This window comes from Homo sapiens, chromosome 6 (genome assembly GCF_000001405.40).
Source record: "Homo sapiens chromosome 6, GRCh38.p14 Primary Assembly".
NCBI lineage: Eukaryota > Metazoa > Chordata > Mammalia > Primates > Hominidae > Homo > Homo sapiens.
In genome coordinates, this window is record NC_000006.12 from 126,991,404 (window position 1) to 127,010,728 (window position 19,325).

The following is a 19,325-nucleotide window of genomic DNA, read 5'->3' on the forward strand; positions in this document are numbered from 1 at the left end:
ACAACAGCTCTATCTGTTTTAGTAAATTAACTAACTCCACTATTCAATTAAAATATGAATGAAAGTCTTCATTTTCATCAACAACTTTAAAATACTGCACTGCTGTGAAACAAGATTAAAAGTATGCTCGATGTTCTTGTTATCTATGAAATTTGGCTGGTAAACACGCTGTTCCCAATATTGGTGTTAATTAACAAGTTGTCACTTTGCATTAGGCTGGAATTGTCTAATGCTTTCAATACATCTTGAGGCTGTGTTTACACTACAAAGTGCAACATGGAAAAAGTCATGTAGATATTTCAGACTAAAAAAAATCCTGTTGAAGAAAACACGAGGCAATTTTTTTAGAATCAACCACCTTGGCATTCCGTATTAAATCGTATCACTAGAATATTCCTCAATTATTTTCATTTTTCTCAGTCCATGTTGCCAGAAGTTAAAAAGGGAAAAAAAGATTATTTTTAACTAATCAAGATAGGCTCCAAATAGAATATCCTATGCCTATAATTTACAAATTAATTGTGTACTTCCATTCATTTAATCCTTTCCACATTCCTTTACAGATGGTTTCTGACTTACAATTGTTTGACGTGATTCTTTGACATTATGATAGTGTGAAAGCCATAGGCATTCAGTGGAAACAATACTTTGAGTACCTACACAGCCATTCTGTTTTTCATTTTCAGCACAGTATTTATTCAGTAAATTACATGACATATTCAGTACTTTATTATAAAATAAGCTTTGTGTTATATTATTTTGCTCAACTGTAGGTTAATACAAGTGTTCTGAGCACGGTTCAGGTAGGTTGGTCTAAGCTATGATGTTTGGTAAGTTAGGTGTATTACATACATTTTCCACTTAATAATATCTTCCATTTTAAGAATGGGTTGTTGGAAGTTGTCCCATCATAAATCAAGGAGCATCTTTATTAAGGTTTTATTAATCTTATTTTATGAATGACAAAATTGAAGTTCAGAAGAGTGATTTTAACTTTCCTAAAGTTATGTAGCTATAAGTGGCAGAGCTAATCCTTGAATCTAAGTCTTCTAGTTTTAAATCTAGTAGTAACACTTTTTTTTAAATACTTTTTAAGAATCTGAAAATGCTATCAAAGATAGGGATAAGAGAAGCTTACATTTATACAGTCTCTGTATAAAAACTACATATAATACAGAGTACATATATATATACACACACATATACAGATTACATGTGCATTTATATAATTTGTATATAGCTACACATTATTAAGTATATAGTAAATTATTTATATATTATCTAAATGAATATTTGCAAAATCTTGTGTGGTAGGTATTATTTTCTCCATTTACCCAATGAGTTCCAGAGAGGATGAGTAACTTACCTAAGAGGACACAGTTGATGAGTGGCAGAGCTTATATTCAAATGACAGCCTGAAAGACTGTTGAGACCCTCACTACACTGTGGTCCGCAAATAGGCTTTATCAGCACTATCTGAGAACTTGGGAGACACAGAATCTCAGACCCCACCCTCAACATAATGGGCAAGATTCCCAGGAGATTCATAAGCATATAAATATTTGAAACGTACAGTTATACACCACATTAGTCTGATATCAAAATTAAATCTATCAAAATGTGTAGTGGAACACAAAGTGGTCTACAGTATTTATATCTGTCCATCTCTACTAAAACTATAAGCTCCTCAAGGGCAAAGTCTAAAACTGTTCCCGGCATGTCGCATAAGACTTTGTGCTAGTAGCTGCCTAAGAAATGTTTACATCTGGTTAGTTGCATATATAAAACAAGTATTTGGCCAACTTTGTATATAAATGTTTGTTTTATTTGTTGATGTTTCAGAGGCTGTTAGATGGGAAGTAAGTTATTTTAATTCCATTTTATGATTAAATGCATTTATACAGCTATCTCAATAAAATGTGTTTTGTTTTGTTTTTCCAAACTGTGGTACAGATAGCTTGGGTAATTTTTTTTTTTTTTTTTTTTTGAGGTGGAGTCTCTTTCTGTTGCCCGGGATGGAGTGCAATGGTGGCATCTCAGCTCACTGCAACCTCTGCTTCCCCAGTTCAAGTGATTTTCCTATCTCAGCTCCCTGAGTGGTTGGGATTACAGGCACCTGCCACCATGCCTGGCTAGTTTTTGTATTTTCAGTAGAAACAAGATTTCACCATGTTGACCGGACTGGTCTCGAACTCCTGACCTGAAGTGATCCACCCGCCTCAGCCTCCCAAAGTGATAGGATTACAGTCATGAGCCACTGCACCCGGCTGGGTATTTTTAAATTGGGATTGCTTCTTATATTTTAGTAGATAGCATTTATGGTGGGAACTATGCTGAAATATATGGCATTGGCAAGCTGCTATTTAACCACAGTGGAGAGGAGGGAATTTATTAAGATTGGCTCAAAATTACTTTGGAAAGAGACAGAGCTACAAAGTTGAAGGAAGGTGGTGCTCTGCCAAGGGAAGAGGTGATGGTTGTGCAGGTTAATTTAGTGATGGAGTATCAGAGGCTGCATGACAGAGGGTACAGCAGAATAAAAAAGAGATGGAGACTAGGACTGTGGGAAGCTTTGGAAGATATCCTAAGTAAAGGAGGAACAAATGGGTGGGAAACAGGAAACATGTAGGTCTATGATTCTGTGATTCAACATTTCAACTTAAGAAACATTCAGTGAATAATTACATTTTGAGGGTTAAAAGATGGAGAAACTAACATCTAGTAAATGCTTACCATGTGCTAGAAACAATGTAAGGCATTTTCATATGTTAACTTGTTTAAATTTTACAGTGATGTAGAGAGGCTTCTATTTTTCCGAGGTGATATTAGAGAGACAAAGAGTTGAACAAATTTGTCTAAATTAAACTCCTACTAAATTAAACTCCTACTCCTACTAACCTCACTGTTCCAATCCTGGCTAAGGATTGGATTTTTCCACTGGGCTTTTAAACATATAAATATGTGAACTCGTATTCTGTAAATTTCAGTAGAATCTATATATTTGTCTAAAATTCCACAAATGTTTGTAATGAACAAAGTAGAGAAACATTGCTTTGTATACAATACTTCTTTTGACCTATTATATACAAACCACTGTACTAGAAGAAATGGGAAAGAAGATAATAAATCAGATAAACATCCTGTCCTCAAAGAGCATCCAGTCTATTTGGTCAGATAAGTCAGCTACAACAATAACACAATATATGGGGAAATTGCTACGTAACGTATTTTAAATGCCACAGGAATCAAGAAAGTGTGATATTGGTGAAAGCTCAGATAAATAGACCAATGGAACAGAATAAACAGCCCAGAAACAGACCTACGCAAATAGAGTGAACTGGTACATAATGAAAAAGCAGAGACAATTCAGTGGAGGAAGAATAGTCTTTACACCAAATGATGCTAAAATATTCACATGTTTTTAAAAAATGAATCTAGCACAGATTATATCTTCCACAAAAATTAGCTCAAAATGGATCATAGACCTAGATATAAGGCTCCAAACTATAACAACTTACAGGCTATAGCATAAGAGACTAGCTGATATTAGGTTTGGTAATGACTACTTACATACAGCACTAAAAGCATGATCTCTGAAAGAAAAATGTAATACATTGGACTTTATTAAAATTAAAAGATCTGCTCTACAAAAGACCCCGTTAAAAGAGTGAAAAGTCAAGGCACTGACTGGAAGACAATATTTGCAAAACACTTCTCTGATAAAGAGCTTGTATCCAAAATATATGAAGAACTCTTAAAACTCAACAGTAAAACAAGCAACCCAATTTAAAAATGGGTAAAAGATGTGAACAGACACCTCATAAATGAAAAAAAACCAATGGCAAGTGAGCTCCTGAAAAGACACTTCACATCATACATCAAGAGGGAAATGCAAATTAAAACAATATGAAATACCACTCTACACATCTATTAGAATAGCTGAAACACAAATACTGACAACAAATGCTGACAAAGATGTGCAAAAGGAACTCTCATTAATTGCTGGTGGGAGACCAAAATGGTATAGTTACTTTGAAAGAGTATTTGGCCATTTCTTTAAAAAATAAACATACTCTTACCTTACTATCTGCCAATTGAAACTCTAGGTATTTACCCAAAGGAGTTGGAAATTTATGTCCATGCAAATGTTTATAACAGCATTATTTGTGATTGCCAAAAACTGGAAGTCACCAAGACATCTTTCAATAGGTAAAGGGATAAACAACTGTGGTACATCCATACAATAGAATATTATTCAGCAAAAAGAAGAATAATCTATCAAGCTATGAAAAAACATGCAAGAAAACTTAAATGCATATTGCTAGCTAAGTGAAAGAATGAAGCAAATCTTAAAAAACTACATTCTGTATGATTCCAACCATGACATTCTGGAAGAGACAAAACTAGAGATAAAAAAGACCAGTGCTTGTGAGGGGTTTATGGGGAGAGAGAGAGGGATGAATGGGTGGAGGAGCACAGAAGATTTTGGGGGAAGTGAAAGCATTCTGCCTGAACCTATAATGATGCATATATGACATTATGCATTTGTCAAAATCCATAGAACTATATAGTACAGAGAATGGACCCTAATGTAAACTCTGCACTTTAGTTAATATAAGGTACTAATATTAGTTCATCAGTTGTAACAAATATGCCACAGTAATGCAAGATGTTAATAAAGGAAACTGTATGTGGAGAAAGAGGGAGTGTATGGGGACTCTGTACTTTCTGCTCAACTTTTCTATAAACAAAACACTGCTCTAAAAAATAGTCTATTAATACTTTTTTAAATGCCATGTGAGTTGAGAGTGGGAAATACTGCTTCCAGTCAGAATAATCAGGGAAAATAAAACTACCTGGAAGGGACAGTATTCCAAATATACTTTGACAGATGGTTAGGATTTGGATAATATGATATCCTATGTACAGTAAGGACATTCAGATAGATGAAAGACAGAGGTAACATTCTCAACCCAATAGTTAAGCAAATGTGCAAATCAGCTCATCCGTGACCAGTAATATTTACTATTTAACATATGTGAGACTAAGTTCTCTTATAAGTAGAAATAATTATTTCTACTTATAGAATATTGGTGTTAATTAACAAGTTGTCAGTTTACATTAGGCTGGAATTGTCTAATGCTTTCATATATATAATGGGTAAGCAAATCTTAAATGTACCATTCAATGAGTTTAACAATTTCATATACATTTATAAAATAAACCTTCATGAAAATAAAGAACATTTTGACGAAGGATACTATATTATAGGATAATCCTATAATATAGAAGCATAAATATATAATAATCCTAGAAAAATAGTCCCATAACTATTTCTACTATTAATAGGAATGCCTTCAGTGAGTATAGGTTGCAATGGATACTGCAATAGTAGAGTGGATTTAGAAGGACTGAAAAGACAGTAGGAAAAATGATTGATATCATTTTATGAGAATAACTAAAAGCAAATCTGAATGCCATCTAAAGACTTTGGACAATACTCTGTTTTTAAGAAGGAGATTGGAGAACAATCAGTGCTTTGGTCAAATGTGCTAACATTTGTAACGTGTCTAGTACTGTGGCAGTCACACTAGATGTTAAAGATGGCAAAATGTTAAGGAAACCACAAAGAAGAGAATAGCAATGAGGTGAGGATTTTCAACACTGTCAAATACTACAAAGGTGTTGGGGAATTTGAAAAGGGATTCAAAGGCATTGGATCTATCAACCATTGGAGACTTTTGGGAGGACTGTTTCCACAGAGCAGTTGGAGCAATAGACAAAGACATGGTTTTCAAAGGTGTATGTAGTAAGGAACTGGAAAAAGCAGCAGAAACAACTCTTTGTCTCAAAGTTTGGTTATGAAAAAAGGAGACACCTAGGAAAATAACTCAGAGGGGTAGCAAAATACTATTCTTGGATGGGAGAAGACTCGATCATGCATAAAAGTACAGAATTTTTTGATAATACTAAAGAAGCAAAAGAAATAATATATAGAGGGTGAGGAATAAAAGCACATATGGTGGATAGATAATAAGAAGGGGTAGAGGAGATTTTTAATTTTGAATGGAAGAAATAATTGTTTTTTTTTTCTCTAAGAAAGAAGGAAGGATGAGAAAGTAATTTAAAAGAAAACAAATTTTGAAGCAGAGAGGATAGAAGTTAAAGCACTTCATTCATTTACAAATATCTTTATGCATCTAAGTATCAAACACTGGGCTAGAGAACAGTACAGCAAGAACAGAAGCATAAGAGGTCTACAATGCCAGGACAGCACAGTAAATTCTCTGATAAATATGAGGGTGAAGTGCCATAGCAGTCAAGGGAGAATCCACATATAAGACAACATTTCGATGATGTCTTTGAAGTTCATGTAACCAGGTGGAGAAGTGAAGGAAAGATATTCCAGGCAGGAGAGACAGAAGGTGCAAATCTAGAGCATCGCGAATAGAGCAGCTTATATCTGAGGTGGTTTGTAGTTAAATTCTTAATTGCTGACTTCTATAGCAACTGACAGGGATTTTTTCTTTCTCCAAGCCAATTTGTGTAAGCAGTATAGGTCATCTCCAGAGGTGACCTTTCCCTAATTCCAATTCTATTCCTTAAACCTCCCGCCTCTTACTTTTCCTCCCAGTAAAAGATGGTCATTTTGCTGGTCTGTGGATACATACAGCCAATAACCTGATGATCACTAAGCCAACACTCTCTTTTTGTTTGTCTATACTTATTAATGGTAATACTGTTTTCCCTGCACCCATTTTGGAATTTTTCATCTCTTCATTTACCTATCTATGTATTGGCACCAAATACTTTAAATAACTTCCTCATAAAGTTTTTCATGTTGTCTTATTTTCAAATTCCCATTGCTTTGGTTTTGGTCATTAGTAGATTATGCCTAAATTATTACAACAACCTTCTTAGATTCTGTCTATAGTCCTTTATTTTCAAGCACCATCTTGTACCCCACCACCAGATTAATCTTATCAAACATCACATTCCCCAGGCAATCTTCCAGTCCACAGTCCAGTGACTATCTGCTACTTAAGATAGAGGCTTTAGCAATAAATTCTGTTTTTTCACAATCTAGTCAGTATTTACTCTTTACCACTTAACTTCTGTCTGACACACCAAATGTTGGCAAGAATATGGAGTAACCATAGGTCTCATGTATTTTTAATAGAAATTGAAAAAAGATATGGAAATTTCTCATAAAACTAAACACATATTTACTTTAGGTTCCAACAATTTCACCACTAGGTATTTTTCTGAGGAAAAGAAAATGTATACAGGAATATTTGTAGCACCTGTTATTCATGATAGCCTCAAACTCAAAACAATGCAGGTGTTTATTAATAGACAGATAAACAGTAGTATATTCATGCAATGGAAACTTACCCATAAAAAGGAACAAACTACTGATACAACAAAATGAATAAATCTCAAAAACAAAATACTAAATGAAAAAAATACACGAAAGAAATTCTTTTTATATGAAGTCTTAAAAAAGGCAAACTAATCTATGGTTGAAAAGCATCAGAGCATTGGTTGCCTCTGAGGTGGCAATTACAAAAAATAACTGATAAGAACCAAAGATAAATTTCGGGAATGGTAGTGTTCTTTATTTTGATGAAGGTTTATTTTATAAATGTATATGAAATTGTCAAACTCATTGAATGCTATATTTAAGATTTGGTTATTCATTGTATATAACTTTTACTTCCAAAAATATAACTAAACAACTATTGAACTCACTGATACATGTGATGAAGTGTTTAGGGGTGAAATATACTGATGTCTGCAACTTACTTTGAAATGAATTATAATTAAGATGGATTGGCTTACAGAAAGAGGGACAGATAGATATGTGACAAAACACATATACTAAAATGTTACTGACAGAATTAAGGTAGCGAGATATTTATGTTTACATACAATTCTTTCATTTTTCTGAGTATTAAAACAATTTTATAATAAAATGTTGGGAGAGGGAACCTCACTTCCCATTACTTCCTTCTATATACCCTCTGCTTGTGTTCATGTCTATTTGAACATCCTCATTGTTTGTCACCTCTGTGCCTTTAACCTATAAATACCATCCTTCATTTTCATTTATACTCAAACCCAACCTTATTGAAGTTATATGCTGATCACTTCCAAAAAAAACTTTTCATGACTAATTTCATCTTGAAATGAAGCTTAATTAACTTAATGCTTTTCATTTGTATTTAATTACACATTATAACAAGAAGCATTCTTTTAATTATACATTTAATTATAGCACAGTGAGATAGCATAGGATAGGCATGGAGACAAATCACCTAAATTTTAATCATAGCTTCATAATTTACTCAATTTACTAGCCTTGGGTTTCACACTTCTTACCTAGAAAACCACTACCTTCCTTAGATGACTATTCTGAGGAACAGATGCATTAATTTGTATTAATATCTTGTACCTGGCACAGAGCCCAATAAATGTTAATAATCATTATCTTCATAGTATGTAACTAGCACCTTACCTTGTGTCTTAAATTTTATAAGTTTCTTAATCGCAGAAGTTGTTTCTATAAGACAACTTTTATTATTGTCTCATTGCATTTTTCTACAAAAATGTGTCATATTGCCAAACATAATCTCTAAGAAAATATTTCTTTAATGAATGAATGAGGAAATTAAAAGCTTTAGTGTTTTACTAATGTGCTGTGCTGTCTCTGTTTGCCTCTCTTTTGCAGTAATATAGCTTTAACTAAACAATCTCCCATAAGCAGCACATAACAAAATTACTTACAAATGGAAGACTATGCTTTTTAATTTAATGCATGCTTTTTCACCGTTGTTTCAGATGTAGATCTATCATAAAAAGAAACATTTGTTATATACCGCTATTTTGCCAGTGTTTCCTTATGTACTAGGATCCAATTAGCCATTCATCTTATAAAGTGGGGAGTTCTGGAGTTCCAGGGAGGTTGAACTTTGAAGGCCTGTAATACGGAACAGAATCAAGCAAACATGAGTTTTATGTCTTTGCTGTTTCTTTAGAAAAGTATTAAAACATTGCTGGAAGCTGTAATTTTATAAACTTCAAAAGCTAGGGGAAATCAAACATTCTATAGGATCATGGTAAGACTAAGTCCCTTCATCACACCACAGTGATGACAACACAATCATGTCTCTGGGATATAGAATTACAAAAAGCTTATGATTAACTGAGTGAGAAAATTAGCAAGTTGAACAGCAAGTTCGAGGTTCCTACCTTACCGCAAAAGCAGGCGGGCCCTATGGATATTGTAATTAAGTGTAGAGCATGTTGGCAAATCTATCAGAATGTCGAGTTTTGGTCTCGAGAACTTACACACATTTTTCAGAATTCCAGAACCATGGAGCAGTTTGAAATTGTAAGTGCTTATGTGTGAACAATCTTTTTTTTTTTCTTTACATGACATGATGAGAATTTAAAGCTCATGCACAGATGGCTTTAAAATGTAGATAGCTATTCTGTACTTCTCACTACCCAGAACTTTTACAGGAGCTTTGACATCTATAATTTTTGCGGAAGACCTGACTAGAACACAATTTAAAGAAAGCCCAATGTATTCATTCTGTTTTGAGGCCAAGGCTAGGTGTTTTATTTCAGCCTGGCCTCTTGGAAAGAAGGTTCCCAGTCATGAAAAGGCCCCTCAGAGGGAAAAGTATGGCCCGAGTTCAACTGAAATCTTTAAGAGCTGGTGCCTCAAGCTTCACCAACAGAGGGTTTATTGGACCAGGGGTGTCAGCCCTTGAGGTCATTTACTTACTACCCTTTATTAACAAGTGCTCCTTGCACTAGGTCTTGATCCACATAGGTATTCTCCAGGTATTCATCTGCATGAGGGCAGGCAGAGCTTGTTGCTTATTAAAGCCAGAGGCTTTGCACAGCAAGGTAACATAGACTCTAGTATAAATTTACAAATATCATATTTTATTTAACAGCTAAATCCCCTAGTCTATTTTCCTTATCATCCCAGTAGCAACTAACTGCCTAAGCCACTGAGAAGTCTGCTTCCTAGGTCTACTTAGTAATTCTAATGTCTGATAACAGCATTGGTCCCCAGAGTGATCTCAGGTTCACACTCATCCTTTCTTCTCTCTATTTTATAGATTAGAATTGTTTTTCATGGGCCAAGCATGATGTTTCACACCTGTTATCCCAGCACTTTGGGAGACCGAGGCGGGCGGATCACTTGAGGTCAAGAGTTTGAGACCAGTCTGGCCAACATAGTGAAACTCCATCTCTACTAAAAATATAAAAATGAGCCAGGCTTTGTGGCAGGCGCCTGTAGTCCCAGCTACTCAGGAGGCTGAGGCAGGAGAATCTCTTGAACCCAGGAGGTGGAGGTTGCAGTAAGCTTGGATCGTGCCACTGCACTCCAGCCTGGGCGATAGAGCGAGACTCCGTCACAAAATAAATAAATAAATAAAAATAAATTGTTTTTCATGGTGGTGGTCTGGCCTCTCAAAAGCTTCTCTCTCTTATCCCCTAAGATTTAGAAAACTCTTACGTATTTCAACCATAAGGAAATAGCCAACAATACGGATACTCTTCATATATATATATGGATATACATGACTATGTACATGCCCACTCACCCCCCAACACACAGTAGATGTGCCTAAACCTAGCAACTCTTGTCAATGAGCAGCTTGAAGACATGTAATACTAGATCTTAAAGGGGCGCATTTCCTGATGTATTTGTTTCATGTAACAAAGTATTGCAAAGTTGGTCACTTGAAACAACAGAAATTTACTCTCTCACAGTCCTGGGTGCCAAAAGCCCAGCATCAGTATTACCTGGACAAAATCAAGACTCCAGCAGTGCTGTACCCGCTCCCAAGGCTCTAGGAGAGGATTGCGTCCTTGCTTCTTCCAATTTATGATGGCTGCTGACATTTCTTGGCTTGTGGCTTCTTTGCTCCAATCTCTGCCTCTCTCGTCACATTGTCTTTTCTGTGTGTGTATCCTCTTCTCTACTGTCTGTGTCAAATCTCCCTCTACCACTCTCTTTTAGGACACACGTGATTGCATTTAGGGTCTACCGTGATTATCCAGGATATTCTCTCTGTCTCAAAATCTTTAACTCAATCACATCTACAAAGACTTTTTTCCTTCTAAGGTAACATTTCTGGGCCCCAGGAATTAGGACTTGGCATCCTTTAGGGGTCGTTATTCAGCTTACTCTACCTTCCAACCACCCTCCTCTCACTCTGAGTGCTTTCTATAGATTTCAGGGGATCACTTTACTCCTATGCCTCTACATTTATCACTCTTATTAGAATTCTATTTAAATATGACTACACATTAAGGACTACACAAGTAAAGCTCATTCACTATGTATAGATGAGGTTATTTCTGGTAATTCTTTTTTTTTTTTTTTTTTTTTGAGATGAGTCTCACTCTGTCACCCAGGCTGGAGTGCAGTGGCCCAGTCTTGGCTCACTGCAGCTTCTGCCTCCCAGGTTCAAGCGATTCTCCTGCCTCAGCCTCCCAAGTAGCACCACCACACCCAGCTAATTTTTGTATTTTTAGTAGAAATGAAGTTTCACCACGTTGGCCAGGCTGGTCTCGAACACCTGACCTCAGGTGGTCTGCCCACCTCAGCCACCCAAAGTGCTGGGATTACAGGCATAAGTCACCACGCCTGGCCTATTTCTGATAATTCTTAGACAGAATAAAGAAATAATCACACAAAAATTCCCAGAAACCAAAGGCCAGCACTCCATTAGCTGCGGGAAAGTATCATGCTCTCTTTGTCTTAATCATGGGCATGCCAAGGTGCATTATAGAGAAGGGCATATAAAATATACCCAGGAAGGTAATTTTAAGACGGTACTAAGAAAAAGCAGGCCAGGAGGTAAGTCATAAGAGTCCAGGGAAAGCTAGTAGAACCTCTGGGGGGCATCTGACTCAAAACGAATAATGAGATGAAACAAGTTCATAAGCTTAGTGACAAGAGTGCCATCGCTGCTCTAGAAAGCTATGCATTTAACTTTTGCACTCTTTTTATATTTTTTGAGGTCTCTGTGCTTTTCCCCATTGGTTGTCCATTTGTGAGCCTTCATTCAATTCTGTCCACATATATTTATTGAATTCCCAGTGTATGCCAGGCACATTATGCAATGGGATGACATCCTGAACAAAACAAGCCTAATCTCCATCCTTCCTTGAACTTAAAGTTTGGGGTGTAATTACTTGGCTTTTAGTAGCAGGAAATTACAACCGATCAGCTCTGTAATGAGAAATTCAGGGCCTATGATTTACCAGGAGTATGTCATGAGGATGAGAGTGGATCTAACATGTGCAAGAACTAAGATGAATATGAAGCTAAAGGATGCAGACAGAGCCCCTTGATCATCTGTGCCTCCCCACTTGGAGAGTCTCCTTTCAGGGCAAACTCATAGTGTTCCTAAATTTTGTTACAATCAAGAAGTTAGAATTGCATTAGAGCAGGGGTCTTCAAAGTCCTCAAAGGAGCTAAAGAGAAACACTGTGATCCCTCTCATGTGCCTGGTTTCTAACAAAGCAGCTCTGTTTTCATCTGTTTTACATCTTGGGCTTTTAAACAAAGGGTTCTGCAACAAGGACAATGAAGATTGAAAACTCCTGCTTTAGAGTAGCAGCCCCCACAGTGACCAAGAAACTTCTCCTGCAATGCCATGTGTGGGAAACAATTCAAAATGCATGTACAGGGAATGGTGGGTCAGGTACCATCTTATATGAAGAATGGAATATTAAACTAATACTTAACCAGTGACAGTGGCTGGTGTAGATGATGATAACCTGATTCTCTCTGGTGTTTCATTTCTTCTTCATGTGACAGGAAAGATAACCAGGAAGGGAATGAAGAAAGGCAAACTGTTGTTTCTCACAATGCTTGTCATCTATCAAGTGACAATTTCCCTGCTCATGTTCCGAAAGTCTCCTCTTTTGAAGCACCTTATGTCTTCATGAGTTCTGAAGAGCTGTCCATGGGGATTGAAAACACAAGGGTGATAGAAAATTACATAAGTCTGGGTAAAAAAAAAGAAATTGAATTGAGATCTGAAAGTTTGATGAAAATCTCTCAGCCATTGTGTATGTATAATTTTATTATCTTACACATTTTTAGAAAGAGGAATACAACTCATATTTTTCAGACTACGCTAACCTCTGGGTAGGATAAGCTAATAACAACATAACCAACAGTACGTTCTGGCTCTATTTCTGCCCAATCTAGTCTTCAGAAAATTCTCCCCAAATGGTTCTGAGTGTTCCTAGGTAGGATCTTGTTCTTTGGCACCTAATACCATCAGGCATTTTTATTCTTGCTCACAGCCACAATTTCTTCAGTAACCTTTTATGTTGAAAGTGGCAGCTATACCACTGTCAACACTTATAATGTCACTTATAATGAACTGGCAAAGGGTGTCATCACTTTAGCCCTGCTCAGATTTCAGTTGTGCCAGGACCTGAAGGGGCCTGCAGGCAGAAATGAAGACAGCTCAGAGATATCTGGAAGTACTGAGCACCAGATGGAAAATGGGTGTATTCTTGCACAAACAGACAACAGTTTGGGTATGTAGAGCCAAGGCTTGTGGGGAGGAGTGTCCACACCTGCCCAAATGTTTCAGAATGCAAATACAACTTTGAGAACAGGAGTGGAGGATACATTGTCTCAGTAAATGTTTCTGCCTCCAAAAGAATAATGTTCATGAAGATAACAAAGTTTTATTTTCTGATCACCTGAGTTCATTGACTGCTAACTTTTCCCCTGTACACAAAATTATGAAAACTATAAATTATACAAGATTATTAACTAAATATAAATATATCATTATCATGTAACAATTATAGTGTGATACTTAATAGTAATGAAGTATTAACATATACATAATTAATTTTTTACAATACTAATAATTTTTTACTTATACTTTAAGTTCTGAGATACATGTGCAGAATGTGCATATTTGTTACATAGGTATACACGTGCCATGGTGGTTTGCTGCACCCATCAACCCGTCATCTACATTAGGTGTTTCTCCTAATGTTATCCGTCTCCTAGCCCCCCACCCGCCAACAGGCCCCGGTGTGTGATATTCCCTTCCTTGTGTCCATGTGTTCTCATTGTTCAATTCCCATTTATGAGTGAGAACATACAGTGTTTGGTTTTCTGTTCCTGTGTTAGTTTGCTGAGAATGATGGTTTCCAGCTTCATTCATGTCCCTGCAAAGGACATGAACTCATCCTTTTTTTATGGCTGCATGGTATTCCATGGTGTATATTTGCCACATTTTCTTTATCCAGTCTATCATTGAGGGGCATTTGGGTTGGTTCCAAGTCTTTGCTATTGTGAACAGTGCTGCAATAAACATATTTGTGCATGTGTCTTTATAGTAGAATGATTTATAATCCTTTGGGTATATACCCAATAATGGGATTGCTAGATCAAATGATATTTCTGGTTCTAAATCCTTGAGGAGTCGCCACACTGTCTTCCACAATGGCTGAACTAATTTATACTCCCACCAACAGTGTAAAAGTGTTCCTATTTCTCCACATCCTCTCCAGCATCTGTTGTTTCCTGGCTTTTTAATGTAAAATACTAATAATTTATCCTATAATTCCATTTTGTGTTTTTCTACACTGTATTTTCTACATTAATCTTTGTGGTTAATTTATTTAATTAGCTAATATTCTCCAAAGACTTCTATTTTTAAAAAACACATTTTCATTGCTTTATAAGTGGTTTATTAAACCAACTAGGCTCCAATACTACACATTTATGGAGAAAGGAGTAAATGCTCTATTCCTATAAATCAAGAACAAAAGCTATAAATGAGGCAGTAGTGCAAGGGACCAAATTCTCAAGTCCAGAATCCCAATGAGAAAAGGCAAATTGAAATTTGCTCTTTCTCAAACATTCGCTTTACTTACGGAAATTTCTAGCTAATTGCTTTAGGCACAACTAAAAACAAATTCTGCATTTGCTAAGATCCATTAAAGAACTTGAAAATATATTATAGTTCAAGGGAACTAAGGCAACTCTCCACCACCACCCCTGGCAAACACACAAATCATTGCACCTGAAATTTCAGCTGTGCTAGGGAGGCCAAGCAACAAAGTATTCTTTTAAAAGAACAATAGATCTTCTTGTAGATTCACTAGAGACATGAACAACAAAGCAACTACTGGAAAGTCTGGTAAAACTCTGCATGCATCTGGAATTGATAGGAAGAAATGACATAGGACCATTATTTGTCTTACATGAATTCAAAAACTCATCTTGTTGAGCACTTTTTTCCTAAGGATATTTGTACTTCAACATAGTATAGCTCTTTCTTGTACACAGATGTACATGATGGATGAATAGAGTGAGAGCCTATGGTTTCAATGTTCTCACCCTCCAAAACTGAATTATACCAAGATGCTGCTAATTACACAATAGTTCTTCTAAATGAAAGCTCACAGCAACAAAACTCACAGTAGGGGGTTTTAATGGGTAGTATTATATTATCGAGTAATTGAATCTTCAGCTGTTAAAGAGGTCTTCAGCTTTTAAAGTTAAAGACAACAAAACCTGAGTTGGAAAGGTGCCATATAATTAATTAGGAGAAAAAGCAGTACCAGAAAACAAATAATTTCCTCTTTACCACATTTCCTCCTCTTCAGAAGTTTTGTGCATTTATTACCATAGAGTATTATCTTGTTCATCATCCCATCAAGACTTAAGTATTATATTTACTTTACATGAGGATGTTTTATGTCACATTGAATGGAGTATCAATTGGACTCAAGATACTACAGCTCAGGTTTTTCTTACTCTGAATAATTACACTACTCCTAATGTTATTATTGATTATTCGCGACCATTTTTCAATCACCAAGCCATTGTGGCAGGACAACATTAAACAGTTTCTCAGCAATTCATGTTGTACTATATGATATTTCTTCCACAGATATAGAAATGGAGCAAGTATCTTGGCCAAGGTTACATCCTACCAAGTGCTGAAGAGGTGTTCAAAATGAAGAATTTCTGAATCTACAAATCAAATGATTTTTTCACTAAATGATAGTTACTTCTTTGTGTGTCTGCGTGTGTGTGTGTGTGTGTATTTTATTTAACTAGAATGGTAGAAAAATTTCAAAGCCCTGGATCCCTTGGTAGGATCACAACTTTGTGGATGAAATAAATTGTTACCATTTATAAGTAAGGCCTGGTGCTTTGGGCAAATAATATAGAACAAGCATTTCTTCTACATGAAATCTCCTTGGCAAAGAGTCATAGTGACTTAAGGTTGCTACCTGGCTGTTCGGGCCAACATTGGGACAATTCTAAATCTAAACATGCTTCTCAACAGAAGCACTATTGGCATATGAAGTTAAACAATTATTTGCAGTTCTGGACTATCCCAATCATTGCAAGACATTTGCATCCCTGGACACTACCTACAAAATAGCAATGGCCTCCACACAAATACAAAACCCCACCCTACAGTAATACTGCCCTGAGCTAAGAACCACTGAGCTCGCCCAGTCTTATGATATTCGATAGTCAACAGCAAGCTGCTCTACTGCTGCAAGAAGCAGTCCTGGACTTTCCGCGCAGTGTTACATCATTTTGGCCCTAGCCCAGAATGTTAGGAGCAGATAACATGCTGCTGTAGACAGATATGGATGGACTAAGCCACTGCTATGGGGCAAAAACTATATTAGATCAAGAGAGACAGGTTAGGGAGTCCAATCAGAGTGTATGGATGTGCAAAGATGGTCAGTCTCCATACCGAGTTATAGTCATAAGTGATAAGGAAAGGAAAGAGAAAACACAGTAGGAGGTACGCATCTCCAGTTTATGGGAAGAAAGGGGCAGTAGTGAGGCTGGGCGCAGTGGCTCACACCTGTAATCCCAGCACTTTAGGAGGCTGAGGTGGGTGGATCACGAGGTTAGGAGTTCGAGACCAGCCTGGCCAATATGGTGAAACCTCATCTCTACTCAAAATACAAAAATTAGCCGGGCATGGTGGTGTGCACCTGTAATCCCAGCTACTCAGGAGGCTGAGGCAGGAGAATCACTTGAACCTGGGAGGCAGAGATTGCAGTGAGCTGAGATCACGCCACTGCACTCCAGCCTGGGCAACAGAGCGAGACTCCATCTCAAAAAAAAAAAAAAAAAAAATGGAGCAGTAGTAAGGCCCACCCGCCCAGTGCAGGCTCTGTTGGCTGGCTGCCAATTTCCTGCGTGCTATTGGCTCATGATATGGCAATTTTCTGTCTGGAACCCAATAGTTCCTTCAGCCTTTACAATTACTCCTCAGTATCCAGTAACTACTCTTGGGCCCCACAGAAGACAGGCCAACTGTCGACTTTCATGTCTGTTATGACTTATTCTTGAAATATGTCACCATGAAGCCTAAAAAGCTTGATGCCCCATTCAACACATTTTGAGTTACATTTTTGAAAGAGGATGTTTGGGCAATGACACACAAATTATATGCACAAAGAAAATTAATTATTTGCAGACATGTAGTATAATTATATGAGTTTATGCTATCCATCTGTGAACCTTAGTCTCCCCTAGTGCAAGCACTGCATATAATAAAAAAGGTTTAACAGCTTTCAGAAAAATGTATTATGCTTACTTTTGCATAATTATGCAAATGATTGTTTCCTTTTGCACAAGAGTGCAAAATGTATTATGCTTACTTTTGCACAAGAGCAAACTCTTCATTATTTGATGGCATTCATTGGCTCATATGAGTGGAAGGAAACTTAAAGGGCCAACTGGTCCATTCCCTGGCAGTCAAGAGGGACAACTTTCAAACAAACCTTGAAAGATGGTGCCAAGGATCTGCCACTGGTGCCAGTTGAAGAAATATACCATTGTTTAATCTTTCACCCTCAGAAAGATTTCCTGTTACTGTGTCTATATTTCTTGCAACAATTTAAAGTATCCTCAATAATTGGGGGTAAAAAGATGCAGACTAATGCCTGGTCACCTCCTCTATGTTAAAATGCTTCATGACTGAGCGTTGTTATTCAGTAATTTCTACCTCCTCTTTAGACCAAGTAATATCACTATGATTAGCTTTTCCCCAGAGGTCTTATTTTATCAAACAATAATTTTCAGTAAATCTCATACTCAATTTCTAATGATAAAAATCCTTTTTATCATTAGATGAGAAGATCTTTCCAGAGGTCTTTTTATGCATGTTTAAAATTTGTATTGGCATCACACCAGCTTTTAATGACAGCTTCATGTGCCCTCCATATCCAAGTGCCTTGTTATTATAGCACAAAGGCATAAAAGTTGACTTGGCAAATGCACAAGATACAGAAAGAGGTAAAAAGAAGGGTGTTTACCTTTGTCCTGGGTATGAAGGGGTGCTTTACAAAAGACATGACCTTCAGCTTCAGCTTCAAGAACGAGAAAGAGTTTTCCAACAGAAGAAAGAGAGTTACTTTTAGAGGAAATATATGAATGGAATCCCAGAAGAGATGCAAGGTGTTTCATGCAAGTCAGCAATGCTGACACATAGGGTAGGGAATAAAGTGAGGAAAGGAGGAATGTAAGATGTATTGAGCATTGTCTATGTGTTAGATCCATCATATATATGATTTCATTTCATCTTCATTATGGTTGCATATGCTGACTCACATTTTGCCTATGATGAATCCAAGGGGTTAATACTTTGCCCACAGTGAGACAGACAGTGAGTAGCAAAGCCAGGATGAGAACCCTGGACTGGCCGATAGTAAAGCACATGCTCTGTGTTCATCATATTATTCTCTCACTCAGTCCAATAGAGGTAGCTAGATCATTGTCAGATCTTGAGGGCCTTGATTGTACTTCTAAGGAATTTGAACTCTCCTTTGTAGAATAAAAAGGATGGAAATTATTTTTAAATTTTTATTTTTTAAAAAATTATAAAAACAGCTCTTGTGATAGTAGGGGGTCAGAAACTTAAAAGAGTAGAAATGGTTTCATGAACACACTTAAGGAGGTGAAGGTTATAGCCCAGGTCAGATCCAATGAAGACCTGACTTACTGCAGTAGCAGTGAGGTTGACATGGAACAGATAGAATCATGAGTTCTTCAAGGCTTTATCTCCAGGGCTTGGTGAATTATTTGATGTGGGAATGAAGGTCTGGGAGGAGTCTGGGATCACTCCCAGGTTACTGACTTTGGCAGAGGATGGGGTGGTGGTTAATGGTCATACTATAAATCACAGTAGTAAATGCCAGAAGAAGCAGCCAGTTTGGAAGTAGAAGATAAAGCATTTGGTTTGGGGACATATTGATTTTGAAACAGAAATGTC

At 36.7% G+C, this 19,325-nt stretch overlaps 1 long non-coding RNA gene across 7 annotated transcripts in view; it reads right to left on the reverse strand.

Annotated features, from left to right (window-relative positions):
* LOC105377989 (uncharacterized) overlaps positions 1–19,325 on the reverse strand; it is a 347,578-nt gene that overhangs the window by 126,137 nt on the left and 202,116 nt on the right. For 3 of the 7 annotated variants that reach the window (XR_002956387.2, XR_007059744.1, XR_007059743.1), the window contains 2 exons: positions 12,782–12,995; positions 8,880–8,980 (listed from right to left, as the gene is read on the reverse strand). The exons of the other annotated variants lie outside the window; for them this stretch is intronic. This is a non-coding gene — a long non-coding RNA (uncharacterized LOC105377989). The remainder of the gene's footprint in view (positions 1–8,879; positions 8,981–12,781; positions 12,996–19,325) is intronic. 7 annotated transcript variants of the gene reach the window in all.